Source organism: Homo sapiens, chromosome 1 (assembly GCF_000001405.40).
Source record: "Homo sapiens chromosome 1, GRCh38.p14 Primary Assembly".
NCBI classification, from domain to species: Eukaryota; Metazoa; Chordata; class Mammalia; order Primates; family Hominidae; genus Homo; species Homo sapiens.
The window spans coordinates 120,413,086-120,430,275 of NC_000001.11; the positions used below are offsets into that span (position 1 = coordinate 120,413,086).

General features: G+C 44.5%; 1 protein-coding gene across 5 annotated transcripts in view, besides 5 other annotated features; it reads left to right on the forward strand.

Moving 5' to 3' along the window:
• Nucleotides 1,185–2,108: an enhancer, noted in NCBI's record as "H3K27ac-H3K4me1 hESC enhancer chr1:144592931-144593854 (GRCh37/hg19 assembly coordinates)". NCBI's record gives its function as "activates a minimal SCP1, AML or CMV promoter by ChIP-STARR-seq in naive and primed H9 embryonic stem cells {active_cell/tissue: H9 hESC(naive and primed)}" and the evidence as "EXISTENCE:reporter gene assay evidence [ECO:0000049][PMID:30033119]".
• NBPF8 (NBPF member 8) overlaps nt 1,942–17,190 on the forward strand; it is a 54,650-nt gene continuing 39,401 nt past the window's right edge. The window contains exons 1-5 of one of the 5 annotated variants that reach the window (NR_102404.3): nt 1,942–2,219; nt 2,961–3,030; nt 4,537–4,726; nt 6,765–7,033; nt 14,621–14,762. Coding sequence is in view for 2 of the 5 variants with exons in the window: in XM_047429836.1 (XP_047285792.1) it covers nt 6,791–7,033; nt 14,621–14,762 (385 nt within the window). In the remaining 3 variants the exon portion in view is untranslated. Of the gene's footprint in view, nt 2,220–2,960; nt 3,031–3,506; nt 4,727–6,764; nt 7,034–14,620; nt 14,763–17,190 lie in introns of those variants that run through there. The other 4 variants (NR_102405.3, NM_001037501.5, XM_047429836.1 and 1 more) reach the window with 4 other exon arrangements.
• Nucleotides 2,109–3,030: an enhancer, noted in NCBI's record as "H3K27ac-H3K4me1 hESC enhancer chr1:144593855-144594776 (GRCh37/hg19 assembly coordinates)". NCBI's record gives its function as "activates a minimal SCP1, AML or CMV promoter by ChIP-STARR-seq in primed H9 embryonic stem cells {active_cell/tissue: H9 hESC(primed)}" and the evidence as "EXISTENCE:reporter gene assay evidence [ECO:0000049][PMID:30033119]".
• Nucleotides 11,623–12,178: an enhancer, noted in NCBI's record as "OCT4-NANOG-H3K27ac hESC enhancer chr1:144603371-144603926 (GRCh37/hg19 assembly coordinates)". NCBI's record gives its function as "activates a minimal SCP1, AML or CMV promoter by ChIP-STARR-seq in naive H9 embryonic stem cells {active_cell/tissue: H9 hESC(naive)}" and the evidence as "EXISTENCE:reporter gene assay evidence [ECO:0000049][PMID:30033119]".
• Nucleotides 12,179–12,735: an enhancer, noted in NCBI's record as "NANOG-H3K27ac hESC enhancer chr1:144603927-144604483 (GRCh37/hg19 assembly coordinates)". NCBI's record gives its function as "activates a minimal SCP1, AML or CMV promoter by ChIP-STARR-seq in naive H9 embryonic stem cells {active_cell/tissue: H9 hESC(naive)}" and the evidence as "EXISTENCE:reporter gene assay evidence [ECO:0000049][PMID:30033119]".
• Nucleotides 12,736–13,291: an enhancer, noted in NCBI's record as "NANOG-H3K27ac hESC enhancer chr1:144604484-144605039 (GRCh37/hg19 assembly coordinates)". NCBI's record gives its function as "activates a minimal SCP1, AML or CMV promoter by ChIP-STARR-seq in naive H9 embryonic stem cells {active_cell/tissue: H9 hESC(naive)}" and the evidence as "EXISTENCE:reporter gene assay evidence [ECO:0000049][PMID:30033119]".

The window sequence follows — 17,190 nt, forward strand, 5'->3', positions numbered from 1 at the left end:
TGTAGATTCAGTCTCATTCCCATGGCGCAGGCCGGAGTGCAGTGGTGCGATCTCAGCTCACTGCAACCTCCACCTCCCGGGTTCAAGCGATTCTCCTTCCTCAGCCTCCAGAATAGCTGGGATTACAGGCGGGTGCTACCATGCCCAGCTAATTTTTTTGTATTTTTAGTAGAGACGGGGTTTTGCCTTGTTGGCCAGGCTCGTTTCAAACTCCTCACCTCAGGTGATCCACCCACCTTGGCCTCCCAAAGTGCTCGTATTACTGGCGTGAGCCACCGTGCCTGGCCTGCTTTAGGTTTCTTTTACTTGCTTTTTTCTTGTTTCTTGATGGGGGAGCTTAAGTGTATTCATTTGAGACATCCCCTCTTTTCTTTTATCCCTTTTAAAAACTTTTGTATATAATTATTATTGTAGGAAGTTAGGCTTGGGCCCGCAAACTATGGAAGAACAGAATATACTAGGCCGCTGCTTTAATAGCTGGTGCCTGCTTGTCGCCCACCCCCACTCCCCCACCTTAGCTGCCTTGTCCAAACCAAAGAGTTTAGTCTAGAATGGACATTTACTAGCCTGCAAAATAGTTCACTACATCTATTCTTATCAGCTTGCCTGACTGCCCAGGTCATAAGTCAAATACTTGAAAAGCCCCCGAGCTGACCATGATTGCAATGCATTATGGGCTGCAACAAAATACAGGGAGACAACCCTAAAAAAAAAACCAACAACCTAAAAGTCCCAACCCAAGATCCAATAGGCGACATCCGGGAATACTGTGACCCCATAGTACTCAGCCTATGAGGAACCGGGGGAGGCACTTCCACACTAGGGGATAAATTGCTTGTTGTAAGCCTACTGGGTGTGCCTGCCTACCAGACACCCGATCTTGCAAGACTGTCATTAATAATAAGTCGCACTTCTGCTGTTTTCCGGGTCTTGGAGTCCATTCTTTGGGTTTGGACGGGTGAGTTTATTTCTCACGATTATTTCCAGGCAGGCCTTGCCCAGTGGGTGGCTCATGCTTGTAATCCCAGCACTTTGAGAGGGTAAGCCTGGTGGATCACCTGAGGTCACGAGTTCGAGACCAGCCTGGCTAACATGGTGAAGCCCCGTCTCTACTAAAAATACAAAAATTAGCCGAGCGTGGTGGCGAGGGCCTGTGGTCCCAGCTACTCGGGAGGCTGAGACAGGAGAATCACTTGAACCCAAGAGGCGGAGGTTGCAGTGAGCCGAGATTGCATCACTGCATGCGACAGTGCAAGACTCCGTTTCAAATAATAATAATAATAATAATAACAATAATAATAATGGCACGACCTAAAGTTATGCAAGCATTTGCCTTAGATAAAATTTCAAGTTTTCAAAGTTGTTAGCTGGGTGGACGGCATGGCTTTACTTCCTATTTCTTGGTATTTCCTAATCTTGTTGAAAAAGTTTTTCTTTTTCTCAAAGGCTTATTTCAGTGGAAGCCCATCTGCAAAATCTGTTATTAATTTAAATTAGAAAATCATTACAAGTCCCACTGACATATGGGTTATTGTTTTTGCGAGTGACCTAAGGCCACTTCTCGGGGGAGCTGGGGGTTGCCTTCCCACGTCTGCGCGTCTGCACCCCATGCCCGGGCCTGGAAGTCAGACTCGGGGGCGGTGCTGCAGCACCAGGCCTGCAGTCCTAAGCGCGGGGTCGCTCCGGGCCCCCGAGGGGGTGTGTCTTCTGCCCCTTTAACCTGGCAGGGGCGGTTCAAGTGGCCCTGGAAATCAGCGATTTGTAGGGTCAAGGGCTGGTGCTTTAAAAGAGAGGCGGAGGGGAGAGAGGGATTTCCCGGTCTCTGCTGCACTCTGTCTATCCGCTCGGTTACTCCTTTTCCTGGCCCGCGCGAACCCGCTGTGCTGCAGAGGCGGCCATGTACCTTTAAGGCCCCGCTGCGCCTGCGCCTTGGGCTCTCCTGACGCGCCGAGCGGGACCCTGAGGAGCCAGCTGGCTCAGGCTATGGGCTGGGCGGCGGTTGAGACAGCGGCGGTATTGGGAGGGGTAGGTGAGGGTCGCGAGGCTGCGTGAGCATCTGAGTGAACGCGGTGCTTTTGGGAACGCGGGACGGGCGACCTGTGGCGCCAGGAGCGGGCCGAGGCGCGGCGCACGGATGCCATCTGGATGGGAAGTTACGGTTTACAGCGAAGTCCACCCAGCGTTTCCGAGGTGAAGGCGCCGCGCCAGGCCGGGGGGCGGTGAGTCCGGGACCCGCGGGTACACAGCTGGGTCGAGCTGCGGCTGTCGCAAGTTTTGTTGCGAGCGACGGAGGGCGAGGCGGGGTGGGGGGTTGGGAGGGCGTGTGTTCCGGCCCCGCCGGGGCTTAAGTTCCATGCGTTCGATTCCTCGCTTGCCGCTGCCGCCCGCAGCCCTCATCTCTTGGGCGCTGGGGAAGAAACTCGCTGGCGGGTGTTCTGTGGCATCCCAGGGGGTGGAGGGACGAGCAGCTTCGGGGGCACGTCCTCGTGTATCCTGTGGAGGACCCTGACCCCGCACCCCACCCTCGAGGCCAGAAATCAGTTGCCTCTGGGGACCTGAGAGGCGAGACCACTCGCGCCCCTGACTTGCAAAGTTGGGGTCTTTATTGGCCTCCGGGATTCTGCTCCTGGCGGTTTCTCCAGGCTGGTGATGGGCAACACATGAGGCGCGTTTGTAGCCATCACTGAATCACCTCATGACTAGCGGGGCAGGCCTCTAATTCACCGCAGGATTTCCGGTAGGTTGGATTGTGGGGTTGGTGTTTGCACTCCAAAGAGTTGGCGTGATTTCCCTGTATCTGTCTTTCTGGCTTGTTAGATCTTCTCATTTGGCGTCCTTTCTCCGAAGAGTTAACCAAGACGTTTGGCGTGGTTTTCTTGCTTTCCTCCTATCTTTTGCTGCTAGAGCTGCTTTCAAAAAGAAGTCTTTTCTTGCAGTGATACCTTTTCTTTGGGTTACAGTGTTGTTCATCCTTTCTTTGCCGAAAGAATGAATCCCAGTGCTTCACGAAGTTAAAGGAAAGATCTGCTGGTAGTGTTTAGTCTTTGTTCTGAGCTGATATGTGTTAGTAGCTTTTTGTTTTTAAATTTTATTAGTAAAATTTCACCAGTGAACCAGAAGCTCTTTTTTTCTGTTGTGAAATGCTAGCTTTAAGATTTCTGAGAACTTTGTGTCAAAGAAATCTTTGAAAAGTTACTGAAGTATACAGAGAGGTTCACAATTTTAAATGTGCAGGTGGTCCGGGCGCGGTAGATCACACCTGTAATCCCAGCACTTTGGGACGCCAAGGTGGGCGGATCACTTGAGCCCAGGATTTCCAGACCAGCCTGGGCAACGTGCCAAAACCCTATCTCTACTAAAATTACAAAAGTTAGCTGTGTGTGGTGGTGTGTGCCTGTAGTCCCAGCTACCTGGTAGGCTGAGGTGGGAGGATCACCAGAGCCCAGGAGGTTGAGATTGCAGTGAGCCGTGATCATGGCAGTGCACTCCCTCCTGGGTGGCAGAGTGAGACCCTGTCTCCAAAAAAAAAAAAAAAAAAAAAAAAAGTACAGGTAATGAATTTTTACCAAGTGAACCACCACAGATCAAGAAATAGAACATTACTAGACTGGGGTATATTTGTAGGAGTGACATTGTTGGTTTTAGAGGTATATGAATGATAAAACTTAGTATTACATATTGTTGAACGTTTTCCCAAAGTGGTTGTACCATTTAGCAGGGATATTCTGGTTACCCCACAACCTTGCTGATGCCTGTCAGTTAAAAATTATTTTGCCATTCTAGTAGGGGTGCAGTAATGTATCAGTGTGATTTCATTTTGCATTTTCCTGGTATTGAGATTGAGTATCTTTTATTGTCATTTGTGTGTCCTCTTTTGTGAAGTGCCTGTTAAATCTTTTTATCCAGTTTTCATTGATATGCTTGGTTTTCTGTTGATTTGTAATACTTTTTTCCGGATATGTGTCCTTTCTACGATATATATGTATTGCATTTCCCTTTTTTCAATCTGTAGCTTGCCTTTTCGCTCTTTTAATGGTGCTTATTCATGAATGGAGATTCTCTAACTTTTTTTTTTCTTTTTGAGACAAGATCTCACTCTGTTGCCCAGGCTGGAGTGCAGTGGCACAATCACAGCTGACCGCAACCTTGACCTCCCAAGGCTCAGGTGATCCTCCTGCCTCAGCCCCCAGGTAGCTGGGACCTACAGGTGAGCACCACCACACTCAGCTCTTTTCTATATTTTTAGTAGAGATGGGGTTTTGCCACATTGCATAGGCTGGTCTGGAATTCCTAGGCTCAGGTGAGACATCTGCCTCGGCCTCCCAAAGTGTTGGGATTACAGGCATGAGCCACTGCACCCAGCCTGAGATTCTTAATTTTAATGAAATTATACTTTATCAATCTTTTCCTTTATGGTTACTGCTTTTTGTGTCCTGTTTAAGAAATCAATGCCTAACCTAGGAGTATGAACACATTTTTCTGTGTTAACCTTATAGCAATTTTATTTTAGTTTTTGCATTTCTTTTTTTTTTTCAGACAGGGCCTCACTCTATTGCCCAGGCTAGAGTGCCGTGGCAGGATCTCAGCTCACTGCAACCTCCACCTCCTGGCTCAAGCGATCCTCCCACCTCAGCCTCCTGAGTAGCTGCGACTATAGGAGTGTGCCACCATGCCTGGCTTAATTTTCATATTTTTTGTAGAGATGGGGATTCAACATGTTTCCCAGGTTGGTCTCAAACTCTTGGGCTCAAGTAATCTTCCCACTTAAGCCTCCCAGAGTGTGGGGATTACAGGCATGAGCCACCCCACCCGGCTGTGATTCACTTTTTACTACATGGATGTGTCTGCTTGATCCAGCACCATTTATTGAAAAGACTATCCTTTTCCTTCTTCACTGTTTGGCACTTTTTTTCTTAAATTGGATGACTGCATGGTCATCCAATTTATGAAATTAGTGTGGGTCTGTTTCTGTTTCTGGACCAACCTGGGCAATATAGTGAGATCCCATCTCTACAAAAAATAAAAATAATAAATAAATGAGTAAAATTTAAAAAATAAGTGCATAGAGCAGATGGAGTCATAGGTGATAATTTATAAATGATTGTCAGTTTCTTGGCTACATACGGGTGTTGGTAATTCAGATGTGTTGGGCATTCAGGGAAAATGTATTAAGGGAAGTATGTGGTGTTCACAGTGATTGCTAGATGTTCATTGTGACTTGAATTAGATGTTATTTGAGCCTCACAGAGCTACAGTTTTGACTCTTTATTTATTTATCTTTTTACAATTTTTACAATCTTCCTGTCAAGGCAGTAACTCTTTTATACTTCATTGTTCTTAGGTATACTTAATTACCAGGAAAACTTTATGGATCGTACCTAAATAAGCGTTAAGCCATTTAAAGGGCCGACGTGATATGATGTAAACAATAGTATTCTACATAATAGTTTTAGGACTACATCGAACAATTTTTTTTTTTTCTTGAGACAGTGTCTCGCTCTGTTGCCCAGGCTGGAGTGGAGTGGTATGATCATGGGTCTCTGCAGCCTTGACCTCTCAGGCTCAAGCAGTCTGCCCACCTCAGCTTCCTTAGTAGCTGGTTCTACAGGCATGCACCACTATGCCCGGCTAATTTTCTATTTTTTGTAGATAGGGTTTTCCTGTAGTGCCCAGACTGGTTTCAAACTCCTGGGCTCAAATGACCCTCCCACCTTGGCATCTCAAAGTGTTGGGATTACAGGCATAAGCCATCACCGCTGGCCATTTTAGTTTTAATAATTTTTATGTTTTTCTAATTTAAAAGATTTACTAAAATCTCTTACAGCTATTATTTATGAATATAGTATTCATTGTTGTTATTATGATTATTTTGTATGTGTTCAATCTCATTTTCAACATAAGCTCCTGGAAATTTGAGATTTTGTCTCTTATTCACCACTGTATTCTCAGTACTTGACCTTGCCTGGCATGAAACAGATATTGAATAAATATTTGTTAAATGAATGAATGAATGAACATACTAATACCATATTCAACAATCTCCAAGTGTCACAGTTTTCACCATCTAACAAATAAAATAGCTTGTATACAGCAGAGTCACAGTCAACCTGACATAAAAGGAAATGTCAATGAAAAGTAAACCTTTGTATGTGTTGCTGCTAAGATTTTGGGGCTTTTGTTACTGTAGCATAACCTAGCGAAAGCTCAGCGAGACAGCCTGTAGAATATACGTGTACAGATAGACCAGATAGACCAGTAGATGAGATTCCAAAGAAGCATTAACTACACCCACACACTCTTAATTCCCTAACAGAAAGAATCGAATTCTTGTTCACTAAGATCTGCCTCAAGTATTACTTGGTGAAAACTTCCCTGGCTACTCAAGTATTTAGTCAGGACTCTTTATTTTTTTTTCCCCCAGGCTGGAGTTCAGTGGTGCCATCATAGCTCACTAACCTCTAATTCGAGGCTCAAGGAATCCTCCTGCCTCAACCTTCAGAGTAGCTGAGACTACAAGTGTGTGCCACCATGCTGGGCCAATTTTTCATTTTTTATTTTCAGAGATGGGGTCTTACTATGTTGCCGAGGCTGGTGAGGACTGTTGATTACATATGACAGGAACCCAAACAATTCTAGTTCCCCACCACCTTTCAACCTGCTCCTCCCTGGGTCTTCCCAGTCTCCGTAAACGGCAGCTCCATCCTTCAAGTTGCCGAAGCCCCAAATCTCAATATTAACCATGATTTCTCTCTTTTATCTCATAGGCAATCTGAAAGCAAATCCTGTTTAGATGCAGGCGAAGGTTCCTGGTGACCCAGGCTCTCACCTTACCGTCCCTTACCGTCCTCCTGAGGGTGTCCTGGAGCTTCAGTGCTGTGTGTTCTTGGCCTCCACGCTGGGGGTGCCACCAACTCCCACTGTCCAGGGCTTCCAGTGGACTCTCCGAGGTACTGATGTAGAAACTTCCCCATTCGGTGCACCAAGAGCAACCTCACACGGTGTGGGCCGAATGAAGAGCTGCCAGATCCCACAGGTAAAAACCCTGAGGCATTGCCAGCTCGATGGAGTCAGAGAGTCCTTTTTCTATTATGACTCAGATGTGAAGGGAAGATGCCAAGGGCCCTAAACATCGCAGGGCCTTGCCTGGCATGAAACAGATACTGAATTAATATTTGTTAAGTGAATGAACAAATATTCACAGCGTGTGCCACCCTCGACCTGCAGTGCTGTTGTCAGGTGGAAGTGATTTTACTTCAGGAGAGGACAGTGTTCTCTCCAGGACTTTTCCTTAGTAGCTAGATCTACATCCCACTCCTTGCTCTTCCCCTCTTACCCCCCATTCTCTGCCCCCATTTCCGTCTCTTGTTTCCACCCTGCCGTCCCCTTTCACCTGCTTTCTTCTCTTCAGCTTTCATGGCTCACCCCCTCCCTGTCCACCCGCATCCCCCAGGCTAAGGCCCTGCACTGTCCTGGGTGGGGAGATGTGTGTGGTTTTAGGCAGTGCCCTCTAGATGTGTCCAGGATGGGGAAACATGGCTCAGTTGCCAGTATAATGGGTTAAAAGAGAGGCCACTTTTGAAGGCCGTTCCCATCTCCCATTCCAGAATCCTGTAGGACTTAGAATTTATGGGCCACAGTGGAATTCTTGGTTCCCCAGGACCTTGTGGTGGATGTCTTCTTTCACTGAGCATTCATGGGGTGACTATTAGGCACCATGCCCTGCTCTGGGCTAGAGACCCCATAACGAGTAAATCTCAGGTCACTACCCCATGGAACCCACCACTGCAGGCATTGAGAGGGGGAGAAAGAAAGGGGCATGGCCTGTTTGTATCCTTCTCACGTGGCCGTCCACCAGGTCCTGGGGGAGTGGGAGCCAGTGCAAGGAGGGAAGTCCAGTGAGAATGACAAATGGACGATGTCAGACCCAGGGGCTGAGGTCCCCACCTGCAGCTGGGCAGCTTCTGGAGTGGACAAGGAGCAGCAGGGAAGGTTGCGGCCTGGTGTTCTGGGATCCACTGTCTCATCTCATTCTTTTGGGCACCAGAACTTATCCAAAGACAAGACTCAGTGTCTCTGGCAACAGTGGGCCAGAGGAATAATGTGTTTCAGAGAAGGAAGAAGGGGTTGTACCCCATGGAAACAGTATATAGTTTTACAGTAGTGCGTCTGTCTCCAATAACTAGTTAGCGTGTTCCTGTTAATGGAAAATACTGGTGGTGTAAGTTCCCCTGGATGTTCTCATCTTCATGTAAGTTTGTTCATTTCCTTCCTTCCTTCCTTCCCTACTTCTCTCCCCTCCCTACTTCTCTCCCACTCTTTTTCTCTCTCTCTTTATTCTTTCCCTCCCTCCTTCCCTTCTGCCTTCCCTCCCTTCCTTTCTTCCTCCCTTCCTCCCTCTCTCCCTGCCTTCCTCCCTCCCTCCCTTCCTTCCTTCCTTCCTCCCTTCCTCCTTCCTTCCCTCCCTCCATTCTTTCCTTTCTTCCTTTCTTCTTTTCTTTTTCTTTGTCTCTCATGCTCTCTCTTTTTCTTTCCTTTTTGTTCTACTTTTTTAAATAGACCACACTGCACTGAAATCTACATTACTTACCAAAACCTCTGGAGCTGCTTCTGTCTTGTAGGCAGGGAGCTCGTCCTGTAGCCCTTAGGTCCTCCCAGCCTCCTCCTCCTCTGATTTGTGGGTGCCACTGGGGCAGCTGCTGAGTCTCAGTGGTTCCTAGTCATCACCAAGTTCTGCCCACCTAGATGGTTTGCACCTGTCCTTACCAGAACCCTGCACTGTCTAGATGACTGAGGCTGCTTCTGCCTAACTGATCTGCTATCTGTGTTCTGGGGGCACCCCAGGGTTAGAGGTAAATGGCACAGGCATTGAAATCTCCAACTGCTCTGACTCCAGGTTGGTGCACTTCAATGCCAAGTACTAACCACACAATAACAGGATGCCACCAAAACCTTGGTATGGGGCTGCTGCATCCTAATTAAAAAAAAGTAATAGATGTTATTTTTTAGAAAAGTTCTAGGTTTACAGAAAAATGGAGTGGATAGTACAGAGAGTTCTCCTAGGCTCCCCTGTCCTCCAGCACACAGTTTCCCCTATTAGTATGTTGTATTAGTGTGGTCCATTCATTACAATTGATGAACCACTATTGATACATCATTATCAACTAAAGTCCATAGTTTACACTAGAGTTCATTCTTTGAGTTTCACAGATTATGGGTTTTGGCAATTATGTAATGTCCTAAATCCCCAATACAGCATCATGCAAAATAGTTTCACTGCTGAAAATTCCCTGTACTTCACCATTTCGTGCCTCCTCCTCTCCTCCACCCCTGACAACCACTCATCATTTTACTACTTCTATCTTTTTGACTTTCCAAGAATGTCCTAGAGTTGGAATTACAGTATGTAGGTTTCCAGACTGGCTTCTTTCTAGCATTGTGTACTTTTAAGTTCCTCCACGTCTTTTCATGACTTGACAGCTTGTTTTGTAAAATCACTGAATCAGATTTCATTGTATGGCTACAACACAGTTTGTTTATTCATTCACTTGGTGAAAGATGTCTTGGGTACTTCCAAGTTTTGACAATTATGATAAAATTGCTGCAAGTACTTATGTGCAGGATTTTGAATGAACTTAAGTTTTCCAAAGTGACTGTACACTTTTGATTTCCACTAGCTATGGAGAGTTCTGGTTGTTCCTCATCTTCGACAGCATTTGGTGTGTTCACCGTTTTGTGTTTTAGCCATTCTGATAGGTTTACAGTGATATCTCGTTTTAATGTGCAATTCCCTCACAACAAATGATTTTGAGCATCTTTCTCATATGCTTATTTGCCATCTGTATATCTTATTAATGAGGTGTTCAGATCTTTCACCTTTTTTTTTTTTTTTTTTGCTTTGTGTTGTTTAGTTCTCAGAATTCTTCATATATTTTGGACAGCAGTTTTTCCATCAGATTATTTTGTAAATATTTTCTCCCAGTCTGTGACTTGCTTTTTCCATTCTCTTAACAGTGTCTTTCACACAACAGAAGTTTTTAATTTTAATGAGGCTCAACTTAATTTTTTTTCATTAGTAGATTGTGCTTTTGGTTTTGTATCTAAGAAGCCATCATTGAACCCAGGATCCCTCAGATTTTCTCCTATTTTATCTCTTAGGATTCTTATGGTTTTGCACCTTACATTTACGTGTAAGATTTATTTTATAAAGGGTATATAACATGCATACCTGGATTTATTTATTTTTTTGCATGTGGTTGTCCAGCTGTTCTAGCACCACTAGTTGGAAAGGCTATCTTTGCTGCTTTAAATTGTCTCTAAACCTCCATGGAAGATCAGTGGACTGTATGTAGGCCTGCTTCTGGGCTCCGTATTCTTTTCTATGCATCTATATGTGTGTGTTTTCTCTTTTCACCAACTTCACACTATTTGGGTTACTGTAGCTTAATGTAAGTCCTGAAGTTGGTAGTGCCAAACCTCAGGGAGTTTTTCTGAACTTCATCATGAGAACCTGGTTGAGATCATTGTAGTAACACTTGGAAATGTGTGAGATTCCCCCTTAGTCTGGTCTTCAAGGAGTTTTTAATGTTCTAGCCAGGCTACCCTCAGCTTCTAGTAATCTGTCAATACCATTTAAGTGCTCCTCCCACTTGCTGTCCCCAGTAGCTTCTCTTCCCTGTGAGCTGTGACTCCTTGTGTGTTAGCCTGTGTTTCTCATTTTTAAGGTGGCAGTTTTCCCTGTGACCTCAATTCTCTGATCCACCCTAGAAGGGTTGACTTTCAGTTTGTTCAGCTTTTTTCTAGCTGTGAGGACAAGTGATGACTGCCTAGCTCTTTCCATGTTGAAATAGAAACCCAAAAGTTTGTTTAAAGAATTACTTGTTATAAAAGTCCCCCATTGTTAATGTACAACCCAATGATGTAAGTTGATTTATCGAATTGTGCAGCCATCAGCAGAGTTCTACTTCAGCATATTTTGTCACTTCCCAAATTCCCTTGAACCTGTTTGTAGTCATTTCCTAATCCCTGGTCCCCATGACTGGGTCTGAATAAAATAAACATTTGGAAAGCAGATTTCATTATATTTACATTTTCCTGTGTTTGGGACTTTATATAGTGGACTATTGTGTTCGTTTTGTGACAAGTAGAGAAGAGATTGCATTCTAGGGATGGTTTTTGGGGAAACATAATAGTAGTCCTGTTTATGGCTCTCCTTGAATTGGTTCATCTGTGCTGGTGACTGGTATTTGTTACCAAACCTTGTCTGGTGAGCACAAGAAAAGGAATTTTTTAAAATCTGCTATTAAAATTGAGATGATACATTTTCACATAATAATATTTGGAGTTAAGTAGTGAACCGTCTTTATTTTATCTTTTTTTTTGGAGATGGAGTTATTTCTCTTTTCCTTGGGCTCAAATGCAACGGCGCCATCTCAGCTCACTGCAACCTCCACCTCCTGAGTTCAAGTGATTCTCCTGCCTCAGCATCCTGAATAGCTGGGATTACAGGCGCCTGCCACCACACCTGGCTAATGTTTGTATTTTTGGTAGAGACAGGGTTTCTTCATGTTGGCCAGGTTGGTCTCTAACTCTTGACCTCAAGTGATCCACCTGCCTTGGCCTCTCAAAGTGCTAGGATTACAGACACGAGCCACGGCCTGACCTGAACTGTGGGGAAAAGAAAGAGAGATCAGATTGTTACTGTGTCTGTGTAGGAAGAAGTAGACATAAGAGACTCCATTTTGTTCTGTACTAAGAAAAATTCTTTTGCCTTGAGACGCTGTTAATCTGTAACCCTACCCCCAACCCTGTGCTCCCTAAGACATGGGCTGTGTCAACTCAGGGTTAAATGGATTAAGGGCTGTTCAGGGTGTGCTTTGTTAAACAAATGCTTGAAGGCAGCATGCTTGTTAAGAGTCATCACCACTCCCTAATCTCAAGTACCCAGAGGCACACTACACTGCGGAAGACTGCAGGGTCCTCTGCCTAGGAAAGCCAGGTATTGTCCAAGGTTTCTCCCCATGTGATAGTCTGAAATACAGCCTCGTGGGAAGGGAAAGACCTGACTGTCCCCCAGCCAGACACCCGTAAAGGGTCTGTGCTGAGGAGGATTAGTAAAAGAGGAAGGAAGGCCTCTTTGCAGTTGAGATAAGAGGAAGGCATCTGTCTCCTCCTCGTCCCTGGGCAATGGAATGTCTCGGTGTAAAGCCCGATTGTATATTCCATTTACTGAGATAGGAGAAAACCGCCTTAGGACTGGAGGTGGGACATGCTGGCAGCAATACTGCTCTTTAAGGCATTGAGATGTTTCTGTATATGCACATCAAAAGCACAGCACTTTTTTCTTTACCTTGTTTATGATGCAGAGACATTTGTTAACGTGTTTACCTGCTGATCTTGTCTCCACTATTATCCTATTGTCCTGCCACATCCCCCTCTCTGGAAATGCCCGATAATGATCAATAAATACTAAGGGAACTCAGAGGCCAGTGCCAGCATGGGTCCTCCGTATGCTGAACGCCGGTCCCCTGGGCCCATTTTTCTTTCTCTGTACTTTGTCTCTGTGTCTCTTTCTTTTCCAAGTCTCTCCTTCCACCTAATGAGAAACGCCCACAGGTGTGGAGGGGCAACCCATCCCTTCACTGAACCATTTTTATTCTTCCAGAAATGTGATTGATAACAGTAAAGCCACACTCCTCAAGTGCCTGAAATACCCCTCATTGTCTTCTTCAGGTGGCAAGGGCTCTGGAACAGCCACATAAAGGTGAGGGCAATATTTTTACTGTAGTTCTTTCATTGATTGGTTGATTGATTTTTTTCTCTTAGAGGGTTAGCATACATTTATCTGAAATTGAAATTCAAGAGGAGAGACAGGCACCTGTACTAGTTTTCTCTTGCTGCCTATTATCACATTACCACAAACCAGTGGTTTGAAACCACAGAAGTCTGGAATGAAGTGGCCGGGTTCTCTGATCAGAGTCATGTGAGGCTAAAATCCGGGAATGGGCTGGCTGTGTTTTTTTCCTAGAGCTCAAGCTATTTTTCCAGGTTCACTACAGATAATGAAAGAGTTCCTATTCTTGTTTGTGGGGGACTGAGGGCCCTTTTTCTGTGCTGGCTGTCAGCGGGGAGACAGTCTACTCTGACTCCAGAGGCCACGTGCTTTCCTCCTTACCTGTCTGTTTCATCTTTCAACCAATAACAACTCATGGAGTCCTTCTCAAGCTCCCACCTTCTCTGACTTCATCTTCTCCAACCAGCCACACAAAGCTCTGTCATGTATGGAGTGATGTGATTAGATCGAGTTCATGCGGTAACCTCACCATCTTAAAGTCATATAACTGGCATATAACAACATAGTCACAGGAATGGTGTCTCATCACCTTAAGAGGCTTTAGAGACAAGGGTGTGGCATGTTTGGGGACCATTTCAGAAATTCCATCTACCACAGTAGGACACTCACATTCCCCCATCTGCAAAGTGCATTTACCCTCTCCCCTGAGGTTTCCAGATTTCATGTCATTAAAGCATTAGTTCAACATGAAAAATGTCATGTAGACCACATCAGATCAAAAGTTTAAAATCCCATCTAAAACATCCACACCAGGTGTGAATGAGGCTTCCGAGAGTGTCCATTAAGTGCAGATCCTTGACATAATTCCCTTACCTCTGTCGACCTGTGAAACTGAACAAACAGCTTATCTGCCTCTAATGTGAAATGATGGGACAGACATAGAATAACAACTACAGTGATTCTAGTTCAAAATGAGGGAACATGGAGGGGATAAAGAAGTCACTAACCCAAAATAGTTTGGAAATGGAGCTGGGCAAAATCCAGCAGGAGTTTCTTAGTTAGGATCCACAGCCTGGGACTGACCCTCTGTCCTGTGGGTCTTTGCCTCTGGGCTCTCTGCTCTGCATTTCTTGAAACCATTATTATTTATCATTTTTCTCACACTGTTTTGTGTATGGCTCCTATTGCACTCAAAATGTTTTTGAGATTCATCCATGTTGTTTTGTGTGTCAAAAGTTTGTTCCTTTAGCCATTCCATGGAATGAATGTATCACAGTTTATTGATCCATTCTTGTATTGATAGATATTTGAATGTTTCCAGTTTTTCCTATTATGAATAAAACTGCTATGAACATTCTTGTATAAATCATTTTCTGGACATATGTTTTAATTTCTCTTGGATAAATGCTTAGGAATTAGTGAGTCATAGAATAGATAGTTGTTTAGTTCTGTAAGAATATGCCAGACATTTTTTCCCAAAGTGTTTATACTATTGTACATTCCAACCATTAATGTATGAAGGTGAGAAAGCTTTTGCTACTTCCAAAGAGGCCTCTCTATATACATGTAATTTTTTCTAACTGGAGACAGGCTGATGACTTCAGGGACATGAGCATGGGATACCTGTCATCACCACCACCATAAAGTTGGGATTCAGGAAGGAGGTTAATCATATAAAGAATCCTGTGACCAGTATGAGCTTCTCTCAGGCCACACAGGGCACTCAAGTGAACAGGGCATGGGGGCCCTGGGGTCATGGTAAGAAAGTGTCTCATTGGTAAAACCTTTTCCTCTGGGGAGGTAAATAAATGATTTGTTTCTTCTTGGTAGCCCTTGAAGATAAGGATGGTCAAACAAAATAATATCATACCTGGAGAAACTCAGATCTTGCTAAGATTTACTGGTTGGGAATCCAAAGTTAATGCCAAGAAGCAGCCGCCAGTTGGGATCAAATGTGAGCCTATGGATCAAGGTGCGTACTCAAACACAGAGAGCTTTCTGAAAGATGCTACCAGTAGTTTTTCCAGGGCAGAGATGGGTCCTTTATTTTTCTCTCTAATCTAGCCCATATGCTTAGCTGAGTTTTCTTTGTATCACTTTAAATGATGATGTCCCTTGTTCAACAATTTTCTAAACATTCTTTAGATAATAATTTTATGGGCATTCTTTATTGCATTAGGCTTAAATTTTTTAATGCATCTTAAGGTTTTATTGCAAAATATTGCCTTGTTTCCTTTTTAAGATGATACGGTTTATAATATGCAAATTTGTTGTCTGTCCCCTCCCTTTATGTACATAGAAAATGAGCAAACAGGTGGCCATGAAACAGATGGTCATAGAATTGGTTCAGTGGTTGTGAGTGCAGCAACCCAAGAGTGTCTTATCTGAAATACCACCAGGAATGTCTGGACACAGTAGACAAAGGTTTTTCAACTGGACGCCTTAGGATACATGCTTGCAAAAACAAAGTAGCCAAAAAGAAACCAGAGTCACAGAATATCAGAGCCAGAGGAACATTTGGAGGTAATTCAGTACCTCCTCCTTTTCAACCTACAGGGGAGATAGTGGAAGAGAAGCAGGGATGGGTCTGCCTTCTGTGCCCACAATTCATTGGAGATTGTTGTGGTGAAGAATTTCTTTTATGATGAAGGAGAAATAAACTCCCATCAGCTTTAATTCAGGCAGGTTTATTGAAAAGGTGAAGAAGCATCTTGCAGAAGCAAAGCATGGCTGAGGCTTGTGGGCTATGTCTGGACAAATGAGCAGCCGACAGTGGCTGATGCTGCCCCTGACTCTGGGGCCATGCGGTCTGTGGTTCTCTGTGAGCATCTCTTCTATTCTCTTGCACGTTCCCTCAGCCTGTCAGTCTCTGTGTACTCTTCAACCCATAACTGAGCGAGGCTGTACCAGCCCCAATGCCATGTAGCACTTTATGTCAAATTAGAAAGGCATGAAATAAACTAACCCTTTATAATACAACTGTTGGAACAACAGTTGAAAATAACAATATCTTGACTCCTGGTTGAGTGCTTTACACTGAGCTGTCTTTTCCGAATATGAACACAGACTTGGGGATATTAGTGTCACCTAGCGTTATTAGCTAGTATTCTCCTTTTGTTTCCCCATAACATCCCCTCCTCCTTCCCACAGATCCACTCTCCACTCATTTCCATCCTGTCTTATGCCACTTGGGGCTTGTCCCTTCTAGAATGCATCCCTGGCTCCCCTGTGTGCACACTTGTAGTTAGGTTTAGCAGTGGGGGCACCCGATGGAGCCTGGAAGTGAGAGGAAGGTGAGGTCCGTATTTCTTCCCTCTCCCTCCCTGCTCTGGCACTGAGTATCTGGCAATAGCTGCATCTGTCTATTACTTCAGTGGCCACTCTTCCACAGCCCCAATTCTCAGTGGGTCCCATAGCATTATTTACCTTTGTTCCTTTAGCTCCCATCAAGGAAGACCCAGAGGCATTCTCCTCACCAAGGCATTAAGAAATGCATGGGTGAGGGGAACAGCGGCGTGCGTGTAAAGGTCCTGTGGCACCTCTCCTCTGCAGGCTGGAGGTCATGGCGGGAGATGCTGCATGGATTTGCCCTCCCTGCTGTCAGAACAACAGGGTTCTGGAAGAGTAGAGGACAGGCCGTGGGACTTGGCTGTCTAGAGACATGGCGGGAGGGATTTCCTTGAGAGGCAGGGACATGTGGTGGTTACTAATCATTGTGAGGTGTCTGGGATGTAATGGATGGGAAATCTACTAAGAAGTCAACTTATGTAATAATTAGAAAAGCTCTAGTTCTGAGGACAGAGACCTGTTGGAGTCACCATAGTGGGAATTTTTGACCTGGCATCCAGTTCAGATACCTGGAGCTTCTTGACTGAGGGGAGATTGGATCCCTTGGGGAAGAGTGAAGCCTTCAATGCTGCCACAAGTGTGATCCGCCCGCCTCAGCCTCCCAAAGTGCTGGGATTACAGGCGTGAGCCACCATGCCCGGCCTCTTTTTTATATTTAAAAAATATCATTTTATATATTATCAGGGCAAAAGAGAAAAACTGTATGATTACCTTGTCATACACAGTAAAAGCATTTGGCAAAATTGAAAACTTTTTTCATGATTTATAAAAACAAACCCCAGAAAATGCTCAGCATGATGAGAACAGAAGGCAACACTTCCAACCCCATTAAGGGCAGATTTGAAGAACCCACAGGTAACATTATATTAAATGGCATAAGATTGAATGCTTTTCTATTAAATCAGAGAAAAAAGTAGAATACCTGTTGTTACTCTTTTAATTCAGCATTATACTAGAGGTCTAAATCAATGCAATAAAGTAAGAAAAATTAATAAAGTATTGAAAAGAAAGAATTGAAGCTGTCTTTATTCACAGATAATGACTGTGTTTGT